Source organism: Homo sapiens, chromosome 8 (genome assembly GCF_000001405.40).
Source record: "Homo sapiens chromosome 8, GRCh38.p14 Primary Assembly".
Taxonomy (NCBI): domain Eukaryota; kingdom Metazoa; phylum Chordata; class Mammalia; order Primates; family Hominidae; genus Homo; species Homo sapiens.
Window position 1 is genome coordinate 118144150 of NC_000008.11, and position 27901 is coordinate 118172050.

General features: G+C 39.9%; 1 protein-coding gene across 1 annotated transcript in view; it reads right to left on the bottom strand.

Annotated features, from left to right (window-relative positions):
* SAMD12 (sterile alpha motif domain containing 12) overlaps positions 1 to 27901 on the bottom strand; it is a 490139-nt gene that overhangs the window by 12325 nt on the left and 449913 nt on the right. Inside the window, exon 5 of the transcript NR_146234.2 lies at positions 1143 to 1234. The gene's annotated coding sequence lies outside the window, so the exon portion shown is untranslated. The remainder of the gene's footprint in view (positions 1 to 1142; positions 1235 to 27901) is intronic.

Genomic DNA, 27901 nt, shown 5'->3' on the forward strand with positions numbered 1-27901 from the left:
ATAAGGATTCGGGCGAGGATCTCTGGACAGCATTTAGGCCCTGCCCAGATAAGCCACAATTGTCTCTTCATCTCAAGATCTTTAATTACATCTTCGAAGACTTTTCCCAAATAAAATCACATCACAAGCTCCAATGTTTGACATGAATATTCTTTGGGGGCATTATTTTTTAGCCACTCTCCCACTTCTATTATTGCACATATTCATTATTTGGGTAATTATTTTTGACAACCCTCATCCCCACTGAGAGAGTTCATGGGGGCCATAAGCCTTGTCTGTTTCACTCACTGCTGCTCCCAAAGCACCTAGCACAGTGCCTGGGACATAGTAGACATTTAATGATATTTGGTAGGTAAATAAAAATTTATTAATTTCTTATTACATATTAATTTATTGATGAAAATGAGTTTTAATTTTATTGAATTAATAACATTTTTATTAATAAAATTAATTTAAAAATTGGTGCAAGGAAGGGAGGAAAAAGGGGAGGGGAAAGAAAGAGGGAAGAAAGAACAAAAGCAAGGAAGGTGGGAAAAGGGAGAGAGAGAGGGAAAAGAAGATAAGGGAAAAGAAGGGAAGAAAATATCTCTAACTCTCACTAGAAATTCTGAGATTGGGTTAAAGGTGAGAAAAACGAGGATGCGTTTTAGAAAGCTGAAGGCCACAATTAGCAAGTGATAAAGCTTTTATTTCAACTGAGGTACTAAAAATCCATATAGTCTCCAATGCAACACAGCCCTAGTTAGATGCCAGGGTTAGGTTAAAGAGAGAGCAATAAGATTCAGAGAAGTGCATGGTTTGCTTGCCTCAAGGAGTTTGCAATCTAGTGGGGAAGTTAGCTAGCTAGATATTTCACACACACAATAATGTGGCAAGTGCCAAATAAATAGAGTCTAGATTTTGAAAGGCTTTTAATGCTTTTGGATTTTATTCTATAAAACAACATTTAGATGAGATTTCCAGGCATAAGCAGTAATATTTAAAATTTGCTATTTTGATAGTAAATAACAGTTTTATAGCTGCTGTGTAATTTCAAGTACAAATATCTATTATGACTCATGCTAAACTACATTAGCCCATGGGATTATCCTAAGGGGTAAATTATATATTTGGCATAAATCCAACCATTGGAAAATACTCACTTGAAAAATGCTCAATTATGTCATTCTTGAAGTGCATTTTATAAATAAATCTGAGTCTTCAAATCAGAATGTTCTTGAATGTTGACCAGCACCTGTGAATTATATAAGATCAAAACATCATTCAATGTTGAACACTATCTTGAGTGTTCATTCATTCATTCAATCCTTTCATAGGTGTTTATTGAGATCCTACTGTGTGTTGTTCTGGGAGCTGGAGGTAAAATTTGAATAAGAATGTAGTCCCTACTTTTAAAGGGCTCATTGTCTATGTTATCCAGATTCTCCAGAAAGCAGATGTAGGTGACAAAGTAAGGATTTCAGGAGGCTTATTGGAGAGTAAGCCGTGAACGTGAAAGGGTGAGGAAGCGGGATTGGACAAGGGAATCCTTTATGCCAAAAAGCAGATATGACATCTGTCAAAGGAAAGAGGGAGGAGGCAGGATGAGGAAGAGAGAGCCTCAGACTACAATGCAGATCTGATGAAGTCTTAGCTGACCCAAAGATTTCCTGCTAAAGGAGTCCTGAGTTGGCCCTGGTGCCACTGTTATACTCGGTCATTGTCTGGGGCTGCCCAAAAAGATCGTGGCCTCAGCTTGAAAGCTGAGGCAGAGCTTGAAGGCATTAACAGCTGGAGGCTGTCAGCTAACTGCACTCCTTGCAGCTAAATAGCCAGTTCTTTCTTGAAGGGAGATCAAAGCGATGCAACCCCATGGCTGCCACATAGTGTGATCAGGATGAAGGCCAATAAACAGGCAATTTAGGTCCAGTAAGGGTAATGACAAGGTGCCATGGGAGCTTAACCATGGAGCACCAAACTCCGACTTCGGTACAGGAAAACTTCCAGGAAGATGTAGGGTTTAAGAGGATGCCTGGATTATAAGTAGGAGTTAGCCAAATGAAGGAGGCAGGGGTAGGCAGAGAGTGTTCAAGGCAGGAGAACATGATGTACAAAGCATTGTGGGAGAGAAAGCATGGCACATTTGAGAACATAGCAAGACCTGCTGTATGATTTTAGTATCACATTGCAGGGAGGTGATAGCAAGAGACAAAGCTGGAGAAGTACATGGGGGTAAAGAACGGAGGGCCTTGTCCACCCCATTAAGAAATTCAGGCAGCATAACCACATACAATATGGCCTGTAGATTTGAACACACAAATACCAACAATTTTTCCCCATTAGACTTTGTAGAGCATCCTGAAGACCCCATATTCCAATTCTCTGTGTTTAGATACTAGTGATCCATAGGAAAACACAGCTATGTTGCCTATGAGGAAGAATAACATTCATTATCACCCATTGCTCGTTTGTCCACTATTTTTATTCAAGGTTACACAGTCCATCTCCCGGTAGGAGAGAAATCACAAGACTCATAGGTTTGGTTGGAGAGAATGGGAAGCATAGAGCCAAGGAGCTCTCAGAAGCATCAGACCAAGGCAACAGAACAAAAAACTGACGAGCCACACTGGGTTTTGAGTATCACAATAGGGCCTGGAAAAGAGCCAAGAATGTTTTTTGCTACTTCTAACTTAGAGGGAAGGATTTTTAAAATGAGCCCTGGGATTTCACTTATATGTTCCTATTCTGAGAAAATAATCATAAATTTGAAGATTTATAATGATTATTGAGGACAGTAATGATGGCTAAACTCTAATTGGTGATTGCCATTTCCATGCTAAATGGTTCACACTTGATTTTATATAATGCTTAGAACAGCCATGTTGTACCTAAGAGGCAGGAACTTTTTTTTTTTGAGACAGAGTCTCATTCTGTTGCCCAGGCTGGAGTGCAGTGGCATGATCGTGGCTCACTGAAAACTCTGCCTCCTGGGTTCAAGTGATTCTCATGCCTCAGCCTCCTGAGTAGCTGGGATTACAGGCACACACCACCATACCTGGCTAATTTTTGTATTTTTAGCAGAGATGGGGTTTCACCATGTTGGCCAGGCTGGTCTTGAACTCCTGACTTCATGTGATCCACCCAGCTCAGCCTCCCAAAATGTTGATATTACAGACGTGAGCCACCACACCCAGCCAGCAGGAACTATTAATTGTTCTCATTTTTCCTAGGATAATTTTTTTTTTTTTTGAAATGAAGTTTCACTCTTGTTGCCCAGGCTGGAGTGCAATGGCGCAATCTTGGCTCACTGCAACCTGCGCCTCCCCGGTTCAAGTGACTCTCCTGTCTCAGCCTCCCGAGTAGCTGGGATTACAGGTGTGTGCCATCTTGCCCAGCTAATTTTTTGTCTCTTTAGTAGAGATGGGGCTTCACCATGTTGGTCAGGCTGGTCTCAAACTCCTGACTTCATGATCTGCCTGCCTCGGCCTCCCAGTGTGCTGGGATTACAGGCATGAGCCACCGTGCCCGGCCCCTATGAAAAAATTAAAGCTAAAAAAGGTTAAAGAACATGTCTAAGGTCACATAGTTAATATGCAAAGAAAGGTTAAACAAAGCATTGTTTTAATTTCAATTTTATTTTAGAGACAGTGTCTTGCTCTGTTGCCCAGGCTGGAGTGGAGTGGTGCAATAAGCTCACTGTAACCTCAAACTCCTAGACTCAAGAGATCCTTCCGACTTAGCCTCCTAAGTAGCTAGGATTACTCCTTGCTGAATTTTTTTTTTCTGTGTGTGTGTGTGTTGGTAGAGATAGAGCCTTTTTTTTTTTGAGATGGATTCCACCCAAGCTGGAGTGCAGTGGTGTGATTTCGTCTCACTGCAGCCTCTGCCACCCAGGTTCAAGTGATTCTCCTGCCTCAGCCTCCGGAATAGCTGGGATTACAGGCATGCACCACCATGCCCGGCTAATTTTTGTATTTTTTTGGTAGAGACGGGGTGTCACCATGTTGGCCAGGCTAGTCTTGAACTCCTGACCTCAAGTGATCCACTCCCCTAGGCCTGGGATTACAGGCATGAGCCACCTCATGCTGGGATTACAGGCATAAGCCACTGTGCCTGGTTGAGATGGAGTCTTGCTATGCTGCTCAGGCTGGTCTCAAACTCATGGGTTCAAGAGATCCTCCTGCCTCAGCCTCAACATTATTTTTTAAAATTACAAATGATCTAGAGGGAAACTATTAATTTTGGGTATGTATATATTCAGAAATATTAAGTAGTTATTAGAAAAAAATGTTTTCAAGTTGTCATTGACATTAACAAATATATATGTTATGATTTTTAGTGAAAAAAGTGGAAAGTAAAATCGTACAAACATTATGATCTTTTAAAAAAACTGCTTCATTGAGTTATAATATATATACCATAAAATTTACCCAATTGAAGTGTATAATTTAATGATTTTTGGAAAATTTACAGAACACAACCATTACCACAATCCAGTTCTAGAATATTTCCATCATCTTCTCCCCCTTAAAAAATCTTTCATACCTTTGTGCAGTTAATCCTCATTTCTATTTCCAGTCACAGACAATCCTAATATACTTTCTTTCTAACAGATTTGCCTTTCTGGACATTCCATACAGCGCAATCATGTCATATGTGGTTATTTACATCTTTCTTGTTTCACTTAGCATAATGTTTTTGAGCTTTACCCATGTTACAGCATGTTCAATGGTTTGTTATTTTTAACTGCTGAATAGTAGTTCTATTGTACGGTTATACGGCATTTTGCTTATCCATTCACCAGTTGATGGACATTTGGGTTGTTTCTACTTTTTGGTAATTATGAATAAGACTGCTATAAACATTGCATGCAAATCTTTGTGTGGACATACATACAGTTTTATTTTTCTTGAGTATATGCCTAAGTGGATAATTGCTGGGTCATATGGTAAATGTATGCTTAACTTTTTTGTTTTTTTGAGACAAAGTCTTATTCTGTAGCCCAGGCTGAGGGGTGCAGGAACGTGCCACTGCACCATCACAGCTCACTGCAAACTTGAGCTCCCAGGCTCAATCAATCCTCCCACATAAGCCTCCCAAAATGCTGGGATTACAGGCATGAGCCCATTAGCAGTTCATGAGGATTCCAGTTTTTCCACATTCTCACCAACAGTTAAAATTATATATGTTTTTATTTTAGCCATTCTGGTAGATGTGAAGTGATGGCTCATTGTGGTTTTGTGTATTTGCCTAAAGACTGATAATGTTCAACATTTTTAAATAAGCTTATTTTCCATCTGTATATATTCAAATCTTTTGCCCATTTTTATTGGGTTGTTTATTTTCTTACAAATGAATTTTGAGTATTCTTTATGTCTTCTGGGTTCCAGTCCTTTCTCTCAGTTTCTTTCTTTTAACAGAGTCTTTCAAAGAACAGAAATTTTTAATTTTGATGAAAAATATAACTTCTTTCTTCTATGGGTTGTGTTATTTGGTGCATTGTCTAAGACATCTCTGCCTAATCCATGGTTCCAAAAATTTTCTTCTATGTTTTCTTCTAGAGTTTTTATAGTTTTAAGTTCTGCATTTATGCCCATGATCCGTTTTTATTTACTTTACCATAATGTGAGATATGAAGTTTTTATTTTTTTAATTTTTTTGCATGTGGATAGCAAATTTTTCCAGCATTGTTTGTTAAAAAGACCATCATTATCAACTGAATCACCTTTGATCCTTTGTTGAAAATTAATTGACCATATACATACGGGTCTATTTTTGGACTCTATTCTGTAATACTGATCTATTTGTTCATCTTGCAACCAATACCACATTGTCTTGAATTCTTTAATCCCAGTGATTCTCCACTGAAAGTGATTTTGCCCCCCTCCCTTCCCATCACCAGGGGATATTTAATAAAGTCTGAAGACATTTTTTATTGTTATAACAGAAGAGGTGCTACTGCGATATGGTGAGTAGAGGCCAAGGATGCTACTAAACGTCCTTCTGTATACAGGACAGTCCCCACAACAAAGAGTTATCTAGTTCCAAATGTCAATAATGCCTCTATTGAGAAACTCTGCTTTTGAATTTATGATATACATCTTTAACTCATCACATACCTTCAAGTATATTATATTATTTCACCTGTAGTATAAGAATCTTACTTCAGTATACTTATTCTCCCTGCCCTTATACTATTGTTGCAATTTTTCTTCTACATGTTATAAATATTACAGTACATCGTTATTATTGTTTTTTCTCTTTTTTTTAGAGACAGGGTCTTGATTTGTCCCCCAGGCTGGAGTGTAGTGGTACAGTCACATCTCACTGCAGCCTTGAACTCCTGGGCTTAAATGATCCTCTCACCTCGGCCTCCCGAGTAGCTAGAAGGCACCCAGCTATTTTTATTTTTAAATTTTTTGTAGAGATGGGCTCTTGCTATGTTGCCCAGGCTGGTCTCAGACTCCCTGCCTCAAGTGATCCTCCTGCCTTGGCCTCCCAAAGTGCTGAAATTATAGGCATGAATCACCACTCCTGGACATTATTATTGTTGCTTTAAATAATTGATCATCTCTTAAAGAAATTAAACTAGGAAGAAGAGTATTTATATTTACCAATTCCAAGGTTCTTCTTTTCTTTGTGTAGATCCAAATTTCCACATGGTATTGTTTTCCTTGTGTTTTAAGTGAAAGTCTGTTGCTGATGAATTCTTTTAGCTCTATATACATCTGAAAAAATTTTTATTTTGCCTTCATTTTGAAAGGTATTTTTTTGGAGTATTTTTCAAATTCTTGGAAAGCCAGGGATAATGGCACACACCTGTAGTCCTAGCCTCTTGAGAGGAGGTGGGGGGATCACTTGAGCCCAGGAGTCAAGTCCAGCCTGTGCAACATAGTGAGACCCATCTCTAAAAAAATTTTTTTTTTAATTCTAGTTTGACGGATTTTTTCTTACAGTATCTTAAAACGTTTCTCCACTGTTTTCTAGCTCACATTATTTCTAATGAGAAATCTGTTATCACCCTTATCTTTGCTCTTTTGTATGAGTCTTTTTTTTCTCTAGCTGCTTTAAAAATCGTTGTCTTTATTACTAGTTTTAATAACATTGGTTAAAATGTACCATTGGTATTTCTTTTTTATGTTTCTTGTACGTGAGTTTTATTGAGCTTCTTGGGTGTGTAAGTTTATACTTTTTATCAAGTTTGGAAAATATTTAGCCATTACCTTTTCAAATGTTTTTCAGCCCCTTCTGTTTGGGCCTCCAGTTACATTTATATTTAACTTGTGATGTTGTCCCACCTCTCAGTAATGCTCTATTCATTTTTAAATAAGAAGAAATTTTAAAAATAAACAGCAATCATAAAAAACCTGGAGTGATCATAGCAGGAACCAAAGACAGATTAAGATTTTGAAGTACCAGGCCGGGCGTGGTGGCTCACGCCTGTAATCCTAACACTTTGGGAGGCTGAGGCGGGTGGATCACAAGGTCAGGAGATCGAGACCACCCTGACTAACATGGTGAAACCTCATCTCTACTAAAAATACAAAAAAAATTAGCCAGGTGTGGTGACAGGTGCCTGTAGTCCCAGCTACTCAGGAGGCTGAGGCAGGAGAATGGCATGAACCCGGGAAGCAGAGCTTGCAGTGAGCTGAGATCACGCCACTGCACTCTAGCCTGGGTGACAGACAGAGACTCTGTCTCAAAAAAAAAGAAAAAAAAAAAAAGATTTTGAAGTACCAAAAATCAATGCAAAAGATATAACATGGGGAGCTCTGGGGGAGTGCTGGGATATCCAAGTGGAGTGCAGACTCTTTGCAATAATGAAATGGAAGCCACCCCAACCTTAAGGCATCTGACCTACCATCTTCCTAAAGACCCAAGAGTGAAAAGATTAGATTTAGCACCAACTCAGATATAAAGAGCATGTCCAATTTTGGTCTTTACAACTTAGAAGACATATAACAAAGTAGAAAAGGGTTCAGAAAAGAGCAGAAAGATGGCCAAATAATTGGCAAATAGAACCTCTGAAGAAAGGTTAAATGAGTTTGGGTTGTTTACTCAGAGAAAGAAAGGCCAAAGTTCTACTTAATACTTGTCTTCAAGAGTTTAAAGTTGGGATCTGACTAGATTCTACATCCCCAGAACACAGAACTAGCTGCCACCACCCCCACCAAAAAGTAAAACATTTAAGATTTAGGATTGGAATAACAAACTGAGATTCAAAATAGCCAGAATTTTGTTTGGTTTTTCTTTTTCCCTTTCTTTCTTCCTTTCTTTCCTTTCCTTCCTTTCCTTTCCTTTTCCTTCCTTCCTTCCTCCCTCCCTCCCTACCTTCCTTCCTTCCTTCCTTCCTTCCTTCCTTCCTTCCTTCCTTCTTCCTTCCTTCTTTTTTGACAGAGTTGTTCTTGTGCCCAGGTTAGAGTGCAATGGTACAAGATTGGCTCACTGCAACCTTTGTTCACCAGTCTCAAACAATCCTCCTGCCTCAGCCTCCTGAGTAGCTGGGACTACAGGCGTGCACCACCAAACCTGGCTAATTTTTGCATTTTTTGTAGAGACAGGATTTCACCATGTCGCTCAGGCTGGTCTTGAACTCCTGGGCTCAAGCAGTTCACCCCCCTCGGCCTCCCACAGTGCTGGGATTACAAGCGTGAGCCACTGTGCCTGGCCAAGAATTTTTTGATTCAGGAGAAATTAAGGTTTGGAAAAGTGCACCACTGGTAGTGGGATTTGTTCCCAGTGCTTTATGCGACACAAGTACAGCACCATTCATAATCAGAAGTGAATTTTTTAAAATGGTGACTGAAAGTCCATGAAGTGTTACATGATTACTGTGAATAGATCCATTTAATTCATGTACATTTGATAAGCAGTGGGCTATGCCAGACATTCCTAACCCCTTGGCTGGCTAAAGAGAGCTGGCAAGGGAAGCCAGAGAATCACTGCTCATAAGCATATTTTTCACTTGGTGTCTGTGTCAGTTAGTTTTCACTGCATAACAAAACATCCCACAACTCAGTGCCATAAAATAATTATTTATTTTTCCTCATGTAGGGTTGGGTGGCTTGGGTTCAGATGGTAGCTGCTGAATTGGCTCTGCATCTTGAGTGTTTGTTGCAGAACCTGGGGAAAGAGGAAACAGCTATCTCAAGGAAAGTAGTCCTAATAGGGATGAGTGAAGAGCCAAAGGGCAAGCCCCACTGCACAAGCACATTTGAGCCCTTTGCTCATGTCAAACCTACTAGCATCTCATTGGTCAAGCTCAAAGTCAAGGGAAAGGAAAGTACACTCTGTTTTTTGTGAAAGGAACTGCAAAATATACTCAAAGCATGTGGACAGAGAGGGGTAAAAAAAATGGGGCCAAACGTATAATCTATTTCCTTCTGCAAAGAGAGAAAAAGCCAACTTACACAGGTAGCCCAGACTCAAGTGGCTTGGTATTAAGGTGCCAGTTACGAGACTGGTCCATGCTCCAGGCACATTCTTCTTTGCGTTGGCTGTCTTAAGCTTGATTCCCCTCATTGGCCTTAGAACTGAACTTGCCCTTTGATACTGCTTTAGATGGGAGATGACCAGAGGCTACACCATGGGTTGAGGATTACTCTAGGTCAGAGTGATATCTTTACCTTTCCCCTTCCTCCATATCCTTCAAAAGCAAAAACCTATCTACCTTCTTGTTTCTTACAAGAAGTAAGAATCTATCCAGTCATTCTACTTAGAAGCCTGAGCTTCACCCTTAATTCCTCTTTTTCTTCATCCCGTCATCCAATTTGTTTTAGATCTCTTTACTCTACATCTGAAATGAATTTCTCTCCCAGTGTCTCCACTACCTTCCCCATTTAGATCCTCTTTGTCTTTTATTTGGATTGCTGCAGTGACCCTAACTGATCTGCTGTCACTGTCCTTCACCTCCCCAGTCCATCCACTACACTGCAGCCAATTACCTTTGGAAAGAGCAAACTAGATCATGTCAATGCCTGCTTAAGCAAAAGTCAAAGAATACACACACACAAGTGCACACACACACACACACATACACACACATACAATAAAGAATAATGCCAAAATCTTTATCAAGGCACTCAAGGGCCTCCAAAATCTGGCTCCCTTTTCAGCGTCATTTCGTTTCACCCCATCTGTCCTCTCATCACACTGGGCTACCTATTCTTTAAACATGCCACCCACTTCAATAGATTCTTGTATTTGTAGCTGATATTCGCTATGCATGGGATGCCCTTCCAGACAGCCTCTGTCAGACCAAAATTTCTAATCAAACATCACTCTTCTTTCAGAATTAATCATTCTTTCCTTTGTGTTCCCATGACATGCTGTTCATACTGTTATCATAACGCAGATCTCACAAAAATGTGCATGTATCGATTACTCAGAGAAGCCCCAGGAAGAAAGAAGAGCATAAATAACTTTCTGCACAAAGCAGAAAAGTTTTCAGGAAGCACTTAGCCTGGAAGTTGTTCTTTCTCTTCCTGAGGTCCAGGGTGTTCTATAGAGCTCATACCATTAAATTTTAGTATACACCAAGAATCTATATAGCCGTAAGAGGCAGTTCTGCAGAATAGACATTGTGCATCCTATGGCCCAGCACTGCAAACATTTGTGCAATAGAAAATTAGGAATAATAATAGCATGAGTTAAAGTAAAATATCCAATAAACACTTAAAACCTGAACCTTGAGAGCAGTGACAGAAAAAGAAAATGACAATCCTTTGTAACAGTATGCCAGCCTTGGTATAAAAAAGTAAGCAAACAGCCTAGCAAGGGACCAGTTTGGGGCAGCAAATGGATGGAGCAAACAGGCATAAAACCAGGAGATAAACTAGAAGAATTAGATCCCACCATGATGGTGACATTCCCTTGGGTGACACTGTTAGCAAGACTGCTCACACTATAATTAAATTTTAGTTACATCTGCATATTGGTTATGGCTTCATTATTAAACTTTAATTCTGAATATATATATATGTGTGTGTAATGAATATGCATATATGTATTTATTTGTATCTATTTAGTATATTATATCTAATGTATTATAAAGTGTGGGTTCAATCAAGCTGTTTAATCTTTTTTCTTATTTCTATTAAGTCCTGGGTAGGAAATGCTGTTGCATTTTGCCAAAGTTAGAACGGACTCAACCCTAAATTAAAATGACAATCGAATGCTCAGAACACACAGACCAGATACATCATTGAAGAACGTGCTCGATGAACAGTGTTTTTGGGGGGGTGGGCCACATCTAACAATAGTTTATAATACAGTATCTTAAAAGTTCTGTATAGTTTTATTCAGTTATGAGAGGCTCAAGGCAGGAGATCATATTGTATCCAGTGTAAAACTCAGCACTGTCTCTGGCATCCCATCTGGTGCCCAATCAGTGCTCACTGATATAAATTGCATGGGCACCAGAAAGATGCCCACTGATGTAACCTGGACTGTATTGGAAATTGATGTGCTCCAAGGAAGGAGAACGCTAGGGTGCTCCTTGGACAAGAGCCTCAGTGTATTACTGTATTGCTAAATCAAGTGAATGGAATGCGAGGTGAGGAGGGTGCCTATGGCAAAGATTTCATTACTTTTTCACAACACACCTTAGCACATGTCTAGTCTGTCCAGCTTCTAGGAGGATGAATAATTAAAAGGAAATGGTATGTGTCCAAATTAGCAGTATCCATGCACACGGAGTTGAATAAGGTGAAGCAGCCTGGAATTTTTTATTCTGGTTTTATATTTTTTTGCTTTCTCATTCTTTACTTAATCCACCTAGCTCAGTGAAATTAAGTGTCACAGGCATAGAAGTAAATCCAAGCATTTCTATCCAGCATTAAATTCTTTCTGTATCATAAATCATACCTTTTTTCATAATATATAGCATTATTGCATGATTTATTTTCAGTCTTTTGCAATGAATAATCTCAAAGTCACTATCCTGTTTTAGTTGAAGGCAAGGGAAACTATAAAATGGCACCAAACTCACATGGAATTAGCTGGGGAATCTGCTGTATCTATTATTCCAGCTTAAGCAGAGGTGCTCTGTAGCTCAGTAACTGCAAAAAGACCCACTGAGAGCAACCCCTTTCATTTCCATGGCACTTTACATGGCAATGATAATACATGACAACTCAAGCCAACACAGAACAAAGTATCTGTGGTATAAGATAACATCAGATTGTATCAGTGTGAAAATTTGGCCTAATATTGCTTGCTTGGATCCAAATGTCTTGCAGCCAACTTGATTTAAGATGTTAATGCCATTTTCTGTGGGTGGAAGGATGGAGTTGAGATTTTCTTTTGTGTTTCAGTGGAGAAACACTAGATATCAAGGCTCCATGTGGGCCAGATCCTGCATGTTTTGAAAGGGCTCTATGTGTGTACTCATTACTCACCTAACAAAACCTTTGTACTCAGTATGTTTTAACTGGCTGAAATACTAGTATATTTACCAATTCTTATATGTCCCAGGATATCCATTTTTAAGTGCATAATTCAATTTAGTAAGTGTTCAACGGGCATCTATTATATACTGTGCTAGACATTCATGATAATACAAGGGCAAAGTTATCATATAGAAAAGGGAGAAAAAGCATACAAAATGCTATACAATATGGCAAAATGTTGGAGGAATATATACAAAATGCTTTGCTAAAGGGTTCTGAGTAGAGTGACATTCCTAGATAGAAGAAAGGAGCAAAGACTCAAACAGCCATTGGTCAGATGCTCTTTGCAGTTATCAATATTTGACATGAGTAAGTGAATGAATGAATGATGTATTTTGTCAGATAAATTACGCAGGGTCAGTATGATGTTTGCCCTATGGAAATTAGAAGGGTTGGATATTCAAGACAGAGGAAAAACACAGGCAATAATACACAGCCAGTAAATACACAGCAATACTGGGTTTTGTTGGATTTGAAGAGATTTACATAGAGTTGGAGTCACTAAAGTACATTGAAGTCATGCTTTTTTAGAGCTATAAAGTCAAGATGAGAAACTTATATTTAATTCAGGGGTAGCAATCAAAACTTGAAAATGGTATGATTTACATAGGGCTTCAGGAAGACGGATGTAGTCTTGCCATGAAGTACATGGCTTTGGACCAGAGAGACCTAGGCACCAATCTTAGTGCCACCAGTTATAAATTGAATGGCTCTCTGCGGGTAACTTAATCTCTCCAAGCCTCAGACTCTTCATCAGTAAAATGAAGATAATAAACCCACCATGAATATATAAATCCATGGAACACCAATACCAGGATAATGGTTACCTCCAGGGACAGAAGGTCAGGAATGGAATTGGTGAAGTGGGGACAAAGGAGACTTCAGCTATTGCTGAAGCAAAAATGGCAAAAGGTTAGCATTGTCTGTACTCCATGTGAAAAACATTTATATTATTTTAAACTTCTCTAAATGTTTGAAATTTTTCATCAATATATATTTTAAAAAGCCTAACTTGTAGTCATGGTTGCTGGACGTACTCTTTATCAAGTGTGATAAAGCCCTGGCACATGGCAGTATCTCATAAATAGGAGCTATTTCGTTACTGTTTTTACAATGTTGCAATTAGGGCAGTGAAACAGAAAATAAAGGATGAAAGAGAAGTGGTGGAATAAAATTGTAGGGCATGGAGGACTTCCACTTATAGCCAAAATAGAATAACAGAGACTGAGTTTGCCTTCTAACTTAAAATCTCCTAAAACATGGACAAAGTATATGAAACAAAGTTTTTCAGGACTGTGGACATCAGACAATGAAGAGCAGTGTTCCTAGAGAGATAGGAAACAAATTAGGTGAGCCTTATCATTGCTCCAGCTTACTGATTGAAGACAGTTTCCAGGACTTGGAGCAGGAGAGGGAAGTCAGGTGGATCCCAGTGGTCTCTGTAAGTTGAGGAGACAAGGGTGAGAGTCCAGGGAGGCCAAGCTTTCAAGCAGCTATAGTTTGCAGGACAGAATATAAGAGAAGTGGGAGCTGCCCAGACAGAGGACTCTAGGAGACAGAGGACTCTAGGAGATCTGTAGAAGGTACATCTTGCATATTCACCTAAGTAATAATCAGCATATGCACGTAAGGACATTACCTAATGCGAGAAAAACAACCATCCAAAAGGATTAGAGGAAACAGCTCTTAAGATTTCACACAAAGCCATGAAGATTGCCTGCTTACACCAGCAAGAACAGAAAATAGTACTGATGGCAGGAGTGGCCTGTCTGGAGCAGCTGCTGCAAAGACACCAGCTGCAATGGTGGAGGTGCTGCCAGGATGGCAAGTTCCATGGAGCTGGTGGGAGCTGGGGACAGGTGGAAGTCTCCCCTCTTTCTGAGTTGGAGGGGTAGGACCCCTGCTTTTCCAGGCATAGCTGCAGCATGCATTGGCCTGCAGGTGCCCCTTTGCACAAACAGCCTGGGCACCATGAATGGAGGTAGAAAGTGGACAGGCTCCTGGACAGAAAGTGGCAGGTCCCTGGTGAAGCCCACCTTCAAGCCAGGGATAGTCTGAAGCCTGGGGGCTGGGTCTCCAGTTCTGTGGACCAGAGTGAGAACTTATGGTGCATTTTCCAGGCCTGCCCATGGCTGCCCATGGACCAATCAGCATGCACTTCCTCCCCTCCGGAGCCCATAAAACCACCAGACTCAGCCAGACTAGGGCAAATGATGGGATGACTTACCTGTGGAGAGGAGCTACCCAGTGTGGGTCTCCTCCCAGTTGAGAGCTGAACAGACATTGAGACAACCTGCCTGCAGAAAGGAGCTACCCACTTCAGGTCTCCAGAGAGCTGTACTACAGCTCAATAAAGCACCTCTTTGCCTTGCTCACCCTCCAGTTGTCCATATACCTCACTCTTCCTGAATGCGGGACAAGAACTCGGGACCTGCTGAATGGTGGGACTGAAAGAGCTGTAACACAAACAGGTCTGAAACATGCCCTTTTCCCCATCCCCACTCCACTCACCACATTTCAAGCATGAGAAGGACAGAAGAGAGAAGAGAAGAGGGAAGAACTGTGGCCCTTCAGGGAGCCCAGACCTAGAAACTCCCTGAGCCAGGGCTATGACATCATCTTTGGGGCTTTGTGTTTCCTGGTGTCTCCAAGCTCCTGGGTGCCACCACATTCCCCAGTGCGCACAGTGGAAGCTGCTTGTGGTACACCTAGTCCAGTTGCAGCCTTGCAGAGAGCTGGCACCTGTGCCAGTGCCTGGACCTGCCTGCCCCACCACAGCCAGCATGCCTGGCTGTGCACAGTGGCCGGACCCCATGCTCACTCTCTAACACACCTCTCACCACTCTTTGTCTGGTTTGCCCTTGGCAAACATGGGATCAGGGCTGGTAGCATGAGCCAAGTGCAGCCTGCCAGGCTGAGTGAGCAGAATAAGCCCAGTGGGCCCAAGCAAAACTTGGGCAAAGGCGCCAACTGCCACAGAGGTTTCCAGCTGGCAAAGCAACCCTCCAAGGATCCTGTGACAGTCTAATTCATGAAGCATCAATAAAGTACTCAGAAGGGCTTTATTTCACTAGTGGAGAAAAATTAATCCTAGATAAAGTGCTTCTCTGATACTATATAACAAATTTTTTCTTTTTTTTTCTTTTTTTTTTTTTGAGAGGGCGTCTCACTCTTTTCGCCCAGGCTGCAGCGCAATGGTACGATCTCAGCTCACTGCAACCTCCACCTCCCCTCTGGGTTCAAGCGATTCTCCTGCCTCACTCTCCCAAGTAGCTGGGATTACAGGTGCTTGCCACCATGACCAGCTAATTTTTGTATTTTTAGTAGAGACAGGGTTTCACTATGTTGGCCAGGCTGGTCTCGAAATCCTGACTTCAGGTGATCTGCCCGCCTCAGCCTCCCAAAGTGCTGGGATTACAGGCGTGAGCCACTGCGCCCGGCCCATAACAAAACTTTACAACAAGACCCAAAAGAATCAAACTTTTAAATTTCCAAGTAATTTAAATATATTCCAGAACAAATCTCAAAATATTTCTAGGAATGTAAAAATATATAGCATCCAACAAAGTAAAACTCATAATATTTAAAGACTAATTTGACAAAAGATATATAATACCTGTACACTGAAAACTATAAAACATTGCTGAAGTTAATTTAAGCAGACTTGAACAAATGGAGAGATAGATATACTATGTCCATGGATCTGAAGACTAAATATTTTTAATTTTTTCCAAGTTGTTCTATAGATTCAATGCAATCCCAGTGAAAATCCATAAGACTTGTAGGGAAATACAATGGACCTATATTAGCCAAATCAATTTTCAAAACGAAAAACAAAATTTATACTATCTGATTTTAAGACTTATCATGAGGTTATAGTAATCAAGCCAGTGTCATACTTAGGTTAATATAGGGAAATAGATCAATGATACAAAATAGATAATCCAGAAACCAAAGTAGAGAGACCAACACACATATGGTCAACTGATTTTCCACAAAGTGAGGAAAGAGTTTCATTCAAGTTTCCAACAAATGGTGCCAAAAAATTTACAAATACAAATAAGAAGAAATTTTGGTCTACCTTGAGCCATATACAAAAGTTGAGTGAAAATGGATCATAGAGCTAAATGTGAAACATATAAATATGCAACTTATAAAAGAAACATAAGAGAAAAATCTTTATAACCTTGGATTGGGCAAATATTTCTTTTTTTTAATTTTATTATTATTATACTTTAAGTTTTAGGGTACATGTGCACAACGTGCAGGTTTGTTACATATGTATACATGTGCCATGTTGGTGTGCTTCACCCATTAAACTCATCATTTAGCATTAGGTATATCTCCTAATGCTATCCCTGCCCCCGCACCCCACCCCACAACAGTCCCCAGTGTGTGATGTTCCCCTTCCTGTGCCCATGTGTTCTCATTGTTCAATTCCCACCTATGAGTGAGAACATGCGGTGTTTGGTTTTTTGTCCTTGCGATAGTTTGCTGAGAATGATGGTTTCCAGTTTCATCCATGTCCCTGCAAAGGACATGAACTCATCATTTTTTATGGCTGCATAGTATTCCATGGTGTATATGTGCCACATTTTCTTAATCCAGTCTATTGTTGTTGGACATTTAGGTTGGTTCAAATTATTTCTCATTTATGATACCAAAAGCATGATATATAAAAGAAGAAAGCGAACTTTATCAATATTATAAACTCTTCTTCAAAAGACACTGCGTGTTGGCTCATGCCTATAATCCCAGCACTTTGGGAGGCTAAGGTGGGAGGATCGCTTGAACCCAGGACTTTGAGATCAGCCTGGGCAACATGGTGAGACCCTGTCTCTACCAAAAAAAAATTAGCTGGGTGTGGTGGCAAATGCCTGAGGGTGAGGTGGGAGGACTGCTTGAGCCCAGAAGTTCAAGGATGCAGTGAGCCGCTGTGATCATGCGACTGCAGTTCAGCCTTGCTGAAAGAGTAAGACTGTCTAAAAAAAAAAAAAAAAAGACATTGTGAGAAGAAATATAAAGACAAATCTTACACTGGGAGAAAATATTTACAGATCATATATCTGGCAAAGGGCTTGTATCTAGGATACATAAAGAAGCCTCAAAACTCAATATTAATAATAAATTATTTATTATTATTATTATTGTTATCAATATGTTTAACAAATTAAAATTTTAGCAAAATATTTAAACAGACATGTCTCCAAGGGGCAAATGGCATATAAACACAGGAATGGATCAATATCATTCTGAAAAATGCAAAGTAACCTATGGTGATAGAAAAAAAGCAAATAGTGGCCTGGGCATGGTGGCTCACATCTATAATCCCAGCACTTTGGGAGGCCCAGGCGGGTGGATTACCTGAGGTCAGGAGTTCAAGACCAGCCTGGACAACATGGTGAAACCCCATCTCTACTAAAAATACAAAAATGAGCTTGGCATGGTGGCGCATGCCTGTAGTCCCAGCTACTCGGGAGGCTGAGGCAGGGGAATCACTTGTACCTGGAAGGCGGAGGTTTCAGTGAGCCGAGATCACGCCACTGCACTCCAGCCTGGGCAGCAGAGCAAGACTCTGTCTCAAAAAAAAAAAAAGAAGAAGAAGAAAGCAAATAGTTGCTTGGGGATGGGAGGACAAGGGTACATCCTGAGGCAACTTTTAAGGGTTATGGCTATGTTTGCTATCTCGTGTGCCTTATAGATGTATCCATGTCAAAATTTATCAAATTACATACTTTAAGTGCAGTTTATTGTAATGTAAAGTGTACCTCAATAAAGACATTAACATAATTATAGAGAATGTAATCTTATTGGCAGGAAAGAAAGGAAGAAATCAAAGATGACAAGAGACTGTCAAGATTTCAACTTTGAGTGACTGATGAATGTGGTGTTTTTATAAATGAGAAGAGGGAGAAGAAACAGACTGGTAGAGATAATGATGAGTTCATTGGAGACATATTGAATTTGAGATCCTGATGACTTATTCAGGTAGAGATGTCCAACAGACAGATGAAATCTAGGTCTAGATTTCTCAAGAGGCATGGGCTGCAGATTTTAAAAAGGGTGGAGACCACATCACAAAAGTGATTACTGAATTGCTGTAAACAGATGAGCTTGCTAAAGGGAAATCGAACTGTGTGGAACTTTGAGGAATGTCTACAACTGCAGGCATAGAGAATGAGAAAAGAGTGAAAATGGAGACAATGGTTGGTAAATTATGAAATGCAGAATTGAGCATAGCCACAAATTGAAGGCCATGACAGTGTTTCAAAGATTAAACAATCTCTAGTATCAAACACAGCATTAAAGTTGTGGAAAATGAAGACTGGGCAAAAAAGTGGCAGGATATTAGTAATCTGGGTAAAAACAAAAATAAAATAAACAAACAACACAACTTTGGAAGGATATTAGAGACCAAAACCTGATTTTGAGGGGTTAAGTATTGCATGGATTTGAATAAACAGAGGCACATAACCTCCTGCCATTTTTTAAAAGAACACAGATGGAAAGGTAGTTTGTAAAGATTCATGGTCAATAAAAGTAGTTTCTTTTTTTGAGACAGGGACCCACTCTGTTGCCCTGGCAGGAGTGCAGGGACGTCATCACAGCTCACTGTAGCCTTGACCCAAGCAGTTGAGACGACAGGCACACACCACCATACCTGGCTAACTTTTATATGTTTTGTAGAGATGGGGACTCCCTCTGTTGCCCAGTTTGGTCTCAAAATCCTGGGCTCAAGCAATCCTCCTGCTTCAGCCTCCCAAAGTGTTGGGATTACAGGTGTGAGCCTGCAACTGGCCAAAAGTGTCTTCTATTAGAGTTTGGGTAATAGGGATGTGATTTGAGGTAGGGAAGAGAAAAGTAGCAGGAGGGATTGTAGATAAAAGCCACGTTTATTGTACAGTGGTACTCATACTGGTTGTGCATTAGAACCACCTGGGGGAGCGTTAGGACATACCCATGCCTTTGGAGAGTCAAAGCAGAATCTGAGGTTAGAGCAAAACCTGGGGAGCTTCAGCCGGGTGCGGTGGCTCACGCCTGTAATCCCAGCACTTTGGGAGGCCGAGGCGGGCGGATCACGAGGTCAGGAGATCGAGACCATCCTGGCTAACACGGTGAAACCCCGTCTTTACTAAAAATTCAAAAAATTAGCCAGGCGCGGTGGCGGGCGCCTGTAGTCCCAGCTACTCAGGAGGCTGAGGCGGGAGAATGGAGTGAACCCTGGAGGCAGAGCTTGCAGTGAGCCGAGATCGCGCCACTGCCCTCCAGCCTGGGAGACAGAGCGAGACTCCGTCTCAAACAAAACAAAACAAAACAAAACAAAACAAAACAAAACAAAAAAACAAACCTGGGGAGCTTCAATCTTTTCCAAGTAGGGAGGAAGAACATTGCTGGAGCAAGAGTATCGGTAGGAACGAGGTTTCTCCTCCAACTTTACACATGTGCTTTTGGCATAGGAAACAAATGGCTCTTCCTTGTAAGAGGAAGAAGAGGAGGAGGACAACCAGGAGGAGCAGGAGGGAGGAGTAGGAAGAGGAGGGAGAGCAGCAGGAGGAAGGGGAAGCAGAACTCCTTCTTGATGTTTTGTTGTTTGTTGCTGTGAGGAGACACTTTCTATGACTTTTACCCCCTTGGCTTCCACATATAATTATTATTTGGAGTCAAAGTGAGTGAGAGAAATGTGAGCTCTTCAAAGAGAAAATGTAATTTTGAAGCATCTCCTCTTGTCTTCTCTGGATTTTGAAGGTCATACCAGGCAGTTTCTGCTTCAGCTGTAACTGAGTTAGCCACCCACGCCACTGTCAAGGGTCGCCTCAAGCAATAAAATGGTGTCATCCAACACTAGTGCTCTGTCTCCAGCCTGCAGGGGGTCAGGCTATATTGTCTTTTTTAAACGACCTCAGGATGCTGTGCACTTGAGTTCTCTCTGGTTTTAGTTTATTTTCAAGCTCTTCCAACATAAGCTGTTATTATTTTTTTATTTTTATTTTTTGCTATTAGTAGGTGACTAACTCTGTAGCAGAGATGGATAATGATATGGTGGGAAAGACATGGGCTTTGATGGAGACTGACCAGGGCTCATGTCTCTGCTCTGGACTTTACAGCTATAGGCAATTTTTTTTTTTAAACTTCATCAAGCCTGATTTTAGTTTTTTAATCTATAATAGAGAAATAAATAATGTCTGTTTTTTTGTTCATTCATGCATGAATATTAGAACCGTTGTCTCTCTCTGTATATATATATATACACACATATATACATACATATATATATACACACACACACCTATGCATATATGCATTCCACATATGCATATATGGAATGTAGTAGAAAACCACCTGTTTTCTCCTACTCTAAACTCATATTCTCAGTCAATATTTTGCTTCTGACACTAGATGTGTGTGTGTGTGTGTGTGTGTGTGTGTGTGTTTTCCATACATTGATTCTCTGCAGACAGCAAGGGGTATCCTACAGTTTAACTCAATTCTCATGCTATCTGTCTGGAGATAGCATTAGATCCCACAGGTTAAGGGCTCACAACCAAGATTGCCCTCACTTCAGATGTTAACTGCAAGTCTCAGGTTGTGGCTTGTGCTTCTGACTGACAGGCTATAAATTGAAGGTTCTCATGAACCTTTTCTTGGGTATGATGATTTGCTAGAATGTCTCACAGAACTCAGAGAAACACTTTACTTATGTTTGCCCATTTATTATAAAAGAATACAACTCGGGAACAGCCAGACAGAAGAGATGCATTGGGAGAGGTATGGAGACAGGGATGCGGAGCTTGCATGTCCTCTTGGGGCAAGCCACCTTCCACATGTTCAGCAAACTGGGAGCTAATTTTTGTATTTTTAGTAGAGACGGGGTTTCACCATGTTGGCTAGACTGGTCTCAAACTCCTGGCCTCAAGTTATCCACCTGCCTTGGCCTCCTAAAATGCTGGTATTACAGGCATGGGCCACTATGCCCGGCCCTCAAAATATGTATTTCTTATCATAAATCTATATATATACATATATACATATATATATGTATATATATATATATATATATACATATATATATATAAAACATAACAGGTGATTTGAAGCATAGTGGCATAGCAGTGAAAAGTAAATGCTAGCTGTTACTAGTGTCTTTTCTCATGCTTTTAAATTTACTTATTATAATCCTTTAGACCAGTGGTTCACAAAATGTTCTCTTCAGATCTACAATATCTGATCTGACACGTGATAATAAATAACATGGTTGAGTCCAGTTTTTCCCAACTTTTTATCCTCTTCACCTGCCTCCTAAACCATTGGTTTCTATTTGCCTTTGGATTTGTCCTTGAAAAAGGTCCGCTTTTTTGTGGCATCTTGGCTTCTAGGTTGGTACACTGGGTTTCTCGACTTCATCTGATTTCAGTTCCGTGCAATAAATAATAGCCATTTTAGCTAGAGTTCTAGCTATGAATAGCTTCTTTCCTCATAACTTCATCTTATATTTATTGCCTAAAATGATAGATTGAAAGTCATTACCTAGCAACTGGCACATTTTTTTCTTGTGGTCTAGTTACTTGTAATGATTGACTATTGCTGTAGCTTCACTTGCTCGTCCTGGTCAAAAATGGATATAAGGGGTCTATAAATAGAGACCATTTACATACTCTCAAGATTATCAGTGCAACTTACTGAAATGAGTTCATTTGTACAGAATACTTTGTCTATCAATTTATTTCTCACATCTTCAAAAGGAGTAGCTGATTCAAACCTATCTAGGATTTTATACTTACAGTACCTTTATTAGTTCTGTTATCTCAAACCCCAGATCTCCTGTTGGAGACTGGCTTTTTGTGGCTCTGTAAAAAAAGCAACTAAAATCTTAAAGCAAGAAAGAATACAAAAATTTTTATATCGCTTCATGTTCATTTCCCATATATTGCTCTGTCACAAAAAATTAATGCTTTGTACTTTAAAAGAGCCTTTCATCCAAAAACCTCAAAGAACTTTATAAATAAGTAAGCATGGTTATTCACCTTTACAGGTTGGGAATGATGCACAAAGCTGTTAAAAGTGTATTGTGCATTATTGCCAAGCTCAGGAAAAAGTTCATTTTAATTTAATGCATATAAAATTAATTGATTTGGTGTTTAAAAAGTGTGCACACTACGTTTCTCTAGGCCTCAACCGACTACAGATATTAACAAAGGTACAACAATGGTAAACCCAAATTTCCCTGGCTTTTCTCTCCTTGTGCATGACTTAAGACCTCAGCTTCCTGCAAAGCCCCTTATGTATATCTGGGTGTCTCTAGGAGGCATCTCTCCCATGCTCAAGAACTGTCCATCCCTGCTGGGCCTCCTCTGCTTCACTGAGCAGCAGAGTTTCCAATCAGGTGCTGGAATGCAGTTTCCCTCCATTGCACAGCCAGACACTCTCACAAAGTTAATCATGCCCCTTAGGTGCTTACCAACCTGTAGTGATGTGGGAGAGTGGGTACTCTTCCCTGCCTGTAATCTTCTATGATGAGGCAGTCCAAGGTGAAGCATCTTGAACTCCACTTCTTTGCAAGTGGTGTTTCCTCTCAAGGAAAATAGTTCTGTCACTTCTTACTCCCCCCAGCCCCCCGCGCCCCCCACACGGACAGCTGGGCTCAGAGACATGGTCTGATGTTGAACATTATGTCAGACTCAGAGGTTAGTGGCTTTTGCATGCTTGACACCATGGCCTGCTCCACCACATGCTCCCTGGTGTGCACTCCAGGAGGCTGACTTGTAAGCAAGAGGAATGCAGCCCGTATGCTCCTGGGCCTGGCGTGTTACAATCAGGAGGTTCTCCTGATGAACATGGAACCTTCACAGAACTTCAGTGTCAGAAAAGACTGCTCTGTGATCAGAATAGATCAAGAAAACAATACCCCTCTGTATCATATTGGAACACAGACAAAAACATGAATGTTTTCCAAGCCACAAAAATGGACAATCACTTAGTTAGAAGAGGAAAATGCTATCAGGAAGTGGGGGAAATTCTATACTCAGATATCTTAGTAAACCTTATCTAGAATGAGGGAGCAATACAATGAGATTAAAGAAGCTGTTTTTGCCTCCCTTTGCTGACAGCAGCCAATCCAAGATGAAGCCTCTTCCTTCCTTCAGCCTTTCCCCTGATTACCCACCACCATCCCAATTTAAGATATGCTAAGTCCTAACATCTCCTCACAGAGACTCCCCACAGTTCTCTATGGTGAGCATTCTGGCCCACTATAATGAGCAACAAACCCAACATGTTCAACTACAGGTGTGTTCTTGGGGGTTGTTGGCTGGGGAGCATTGACATCCAACTGAACATAACAATGTGACATGATTTGGCTGTGCCACACCCAAATCTCAACTTGAATTGTATCTCCCAGAATTCCCACATGTTTTGGGAAGTACCCAGTGGGAGGTAATTGAATCACAGAGGCTGGTCTTTCCCATGCTATTCTCGTGATAGTGAATACGTCTCATGAAATCTGATGAATTTATCAGGGGTTTCTGCTTTTGCTTCCTCCTCATTTTCTCTTGCTGCTGCCATGTGGAACTGTAAGTCAAATTAAACTTCTTTTTCTTCCCAGTCTCAGATATGTCTTTATCAGCAGCATGAAAATAGACTAATACACAATGGCTCTTTTACCCTCTGATGTTTGTTGGGTTTGGCCAAAGGAGGGACCATTGGAGTGTAAGAGGAGAATGGGGTCAGGGTACTTATTCCCCCATCTCCCTCCCTCCTGCAACCTGTGTCCTCTCTTTCCACATTCCAGTGACCACATAGGCCCCACCGTGTCATTAGCCCTGAGACACTTCATCAGCTCTTGTTGGTTTCCCTACATTCTGACCACGTGTGTAGCATCTGTTTATTAAAAGTTTAGTGAACCAATATGAGAGTGCTGACAATTTATAGCAACAACCAAAGCTTCCTTATTAGATTCTCCTCATTACATTCTGACCCTTTTCTCTTAGGTTGTCTTCTTCCCGGAATATTTTTCAGTCCTCATGCAAACAGGCCTCTGGCTTGTCTGCCTCACTGGTTTGCCAGGCACACCCCAGATAGGGTGGAATTATGCTTGGACAAGTTATCCTTTTTTGCTGCCCTAACCTAAGTAATAAGCTTAGGAAAAAAAACTTCAAAAATCATTAAATTTCAAGATCAACTGACCGGTAGGATTTTCTTTCTGACTGTAATGTCAGAAAACTGCAATTGCATACGAGTTGTGGAAATCATGTCCCAGAGGAAAAAAATTAGGGGTATGAAGATGTATATATCCAAGAATAAACCCATTTTCACTATAAAGAAAGAAAAAGAATATTAATCAAACACATCAATGACCCTAACAATGAATTACCTAAGAGATCACCCTTAACACATTCAAAGATGTTTAGCATTTTAATACTTATTTTTTTCTTTTAAAACCAACCACTCAACAATAGGAAATGGGGAATAATATAGTGGGGAGGGAAAGAAAGGGGAAAGGGTTGAAAAATCTACCTAGTGGGTATGATGCTCACTACCTGGGTGACAGGCTCAATTATACCTCAAACCACAGCATCATGCAATATACTCATGTAACCAACCTGTACATGTACCCCCTGAATCTAAAATAAAAGTTGAAATTATAAAAATTAAAATAAAACAAAACTAACCACAGACAGATTAAAGTCCAAGAAACACAGTAGACAAATTTCCTTTCATGGAAGCTACTCTGCAAGGAAATGCCGATCCTAGCATCATGTTTTAAGTTTTAGCACACTATTTGTTCTCCTCCTGGCTTAGTTTGGTTCTATTATTGTTTTACCAAGAATGATACACTTTCTTTTTAAATATGTGATTTTGAAAAGCTTTCCCTACAGATGCAATTGTTTCAAAATTGCATGTTGGGGCTACATTTCTTTGTTCCTGTGGGAATACATCTTTACTTATATAATGTAAGTCAGTATGAAAATAAGATTTGCTTGAAGAAAATTGTTTTCCAGCCATGGTTCAGGACCACTTGTAGTCTATCAGGCAGCTGCACCAATGTTATGTGCAGAAATCCACTGACCCCAATGTTTCTTTCAGGGAGACCTATGGATAGTTCTAGAGATGTTTACAAGAGGCAATGTGTACAGTTTCTAAAACATTTTAACGTAATTGAAAAATAAAAAAGATGAAGGACAACAAAGGAATCTCCTGCTTCTAAAGTGCTACCTCCAGGAGTCAGCAAAGCTGTCTAGAGGCTCTTCTTTGGAGGTAATTTTTCTCAAAGACTGAGGAAAGCTGTTTTTTACCCCACTTGTGGTTAAGTGTGTTCATATGAACTCTTATTTTATATAAACACACATTATGGAGATGGAAAATTTTGCATGAATTTAAAGATTAAACATGGTACATTCAAGGAAATTTCATGTTTGTGGTGGGCTGCATTGAGCCATGGCCTCAGACCCTATGGGAACACTAAGACTTTTACATTTGTTATTAGGCAATATCTATAAATTATATGCATCATACATAGGGTGATCAGTTTATTATAGACTTGGAAATGCACAAGTGACTACTAGCTGTGTGAGGCAAGTTACTTAATCTCTCTAAGCCTCAGTTTCTCATTTGGGGAAACGATTGTACACTAAACTCAGAGTGCTCGTGAAGATTAAATGCCATCCATACTTAGTTTGGCAAAGTTCCAGGCCCAATATGTATTAGTTATTATTATTACCGTAGATATATTAGTTTAATATTTTGACTTGAAAACTGATATATCTTATAAAATGTGGAGGGGGCTTAAAGTGATCTTTAAGAGGTCATACTCTATACTATATGCATACTTTACAAATTATCTTCTTTGCAAATTTCTGGGAACACATAATTCTCAACCAATAACAGATCAATTTTATTTATTGTAACTTTTGAGAAGTATGTAAGGCATGCTACTGTAAAAATAAACCCAACTCCTGCATCTATGATTAATTGATTTTGACGAGGATGCCAAGACAATTTAATGGGGAAAAGGAGTCTTTTCAACAAATGGTGCTGGAATAGTTAAACATCTATTTGCAAAACAATAACATGGGACTCTTGGCTTAAATCATACACAAAAATTAACACAGAATGGATTAAAGATGTAGATGTAGAAGATAAAATGGTAAAAGTCTTAGAAGATAAAATAAGAGTAAACCTTTGTGACCTTGGCTAGGCAATGGTTTGTTGAATAGAACAATGTAAGTACAAGTGATAAAAGAAAAAAAATAGATTGGACTACACTAAAATTAAGAATTTTACACTGCAAATGATAACGTCAAAAAATGAAAGGACAGAAGATGGAATGAGAGAAAATATCTGCAAATCTTATATCTGATAAGGGACTTGTATTCAAAATACATAAAGAATTCTGACTACTCAATAAAAAGACAAATAACCAAATTTAAAATTGGTCAAAAGATATGAATAGACATTTCTCCAAGGAAAATATACAAATGATCAATAAGTACATATAAAAATGCTCAGCATTGTTAGTCATTCTGCAAATGTAAACTAAAATCACGTTGAGATACCATCTCATAAACACTGGGATGGCTATCGTGAAAAGGTTGCAAAATGACAAATGTTGGTGAGGATGTGGAGAAATTGCAACTTTCACACATTGCTGGTGGGAATGTAAAATGGTTCAGCCACTTTGGAAAACACTCTGAGAGGTCCTTAAAATGATTAGCATATAGTTATCATGTGACCCAGTGATTATACTCCTTAGTACACTCCTTAGTATATATCCAAGAGAAATAAAAACATTTGCACACATAAAAATGTGTAGATGAGTATTTATAGCAGTGTTACCTATAACATAGAAGTAGAAACAACCCAAAAGTCCATCAACTGATGAATGACTAAACAAAATGCAGTATATCCATACAGTGAAGTATTACTTGACAATCAAAAGAAATGAAGTACTGATACATGATACATCATGAATGAACCCTGAAAAACATGCTAGGTGAAATAAGTTGGTAGCAAGAGACCATATATTGTGTGATTGCATTCATATGAAATGTCTGGGATAGACAGATCTACAAAGACAGAAAGCAGGTCAGTGGTTGCCAGGGACTGGGAGGAGAGGAGGCTTGGAGAGAATGGGGAGTGGCTGCTAATGGGTACAGGATTTTTTTTTTTTTTTTTTTTGGGTCAGGTCATGAAATTGTTCTAAAATTAGACTGATGATTGCTTGGCCCCTTGAATATATTTTAAACATTGAATTGTGCATTTAAAATGGGTAAATTGCAATAGCAAAGACTTGGAACCAACCCAAATGCCCACCAATGATAGACTGGATTAAGAAAATGTGGCACATATACGCCATAAAAAAGGATGAGTTCATGTCTTTTGTAGGGTCATGGATAAAGCTGGAAACCATCACTCTGAGCAAACTATCGCAAGGACAGAAAACCAAACACTGCATGTTCTCACTCATAGGTGGGAAATGA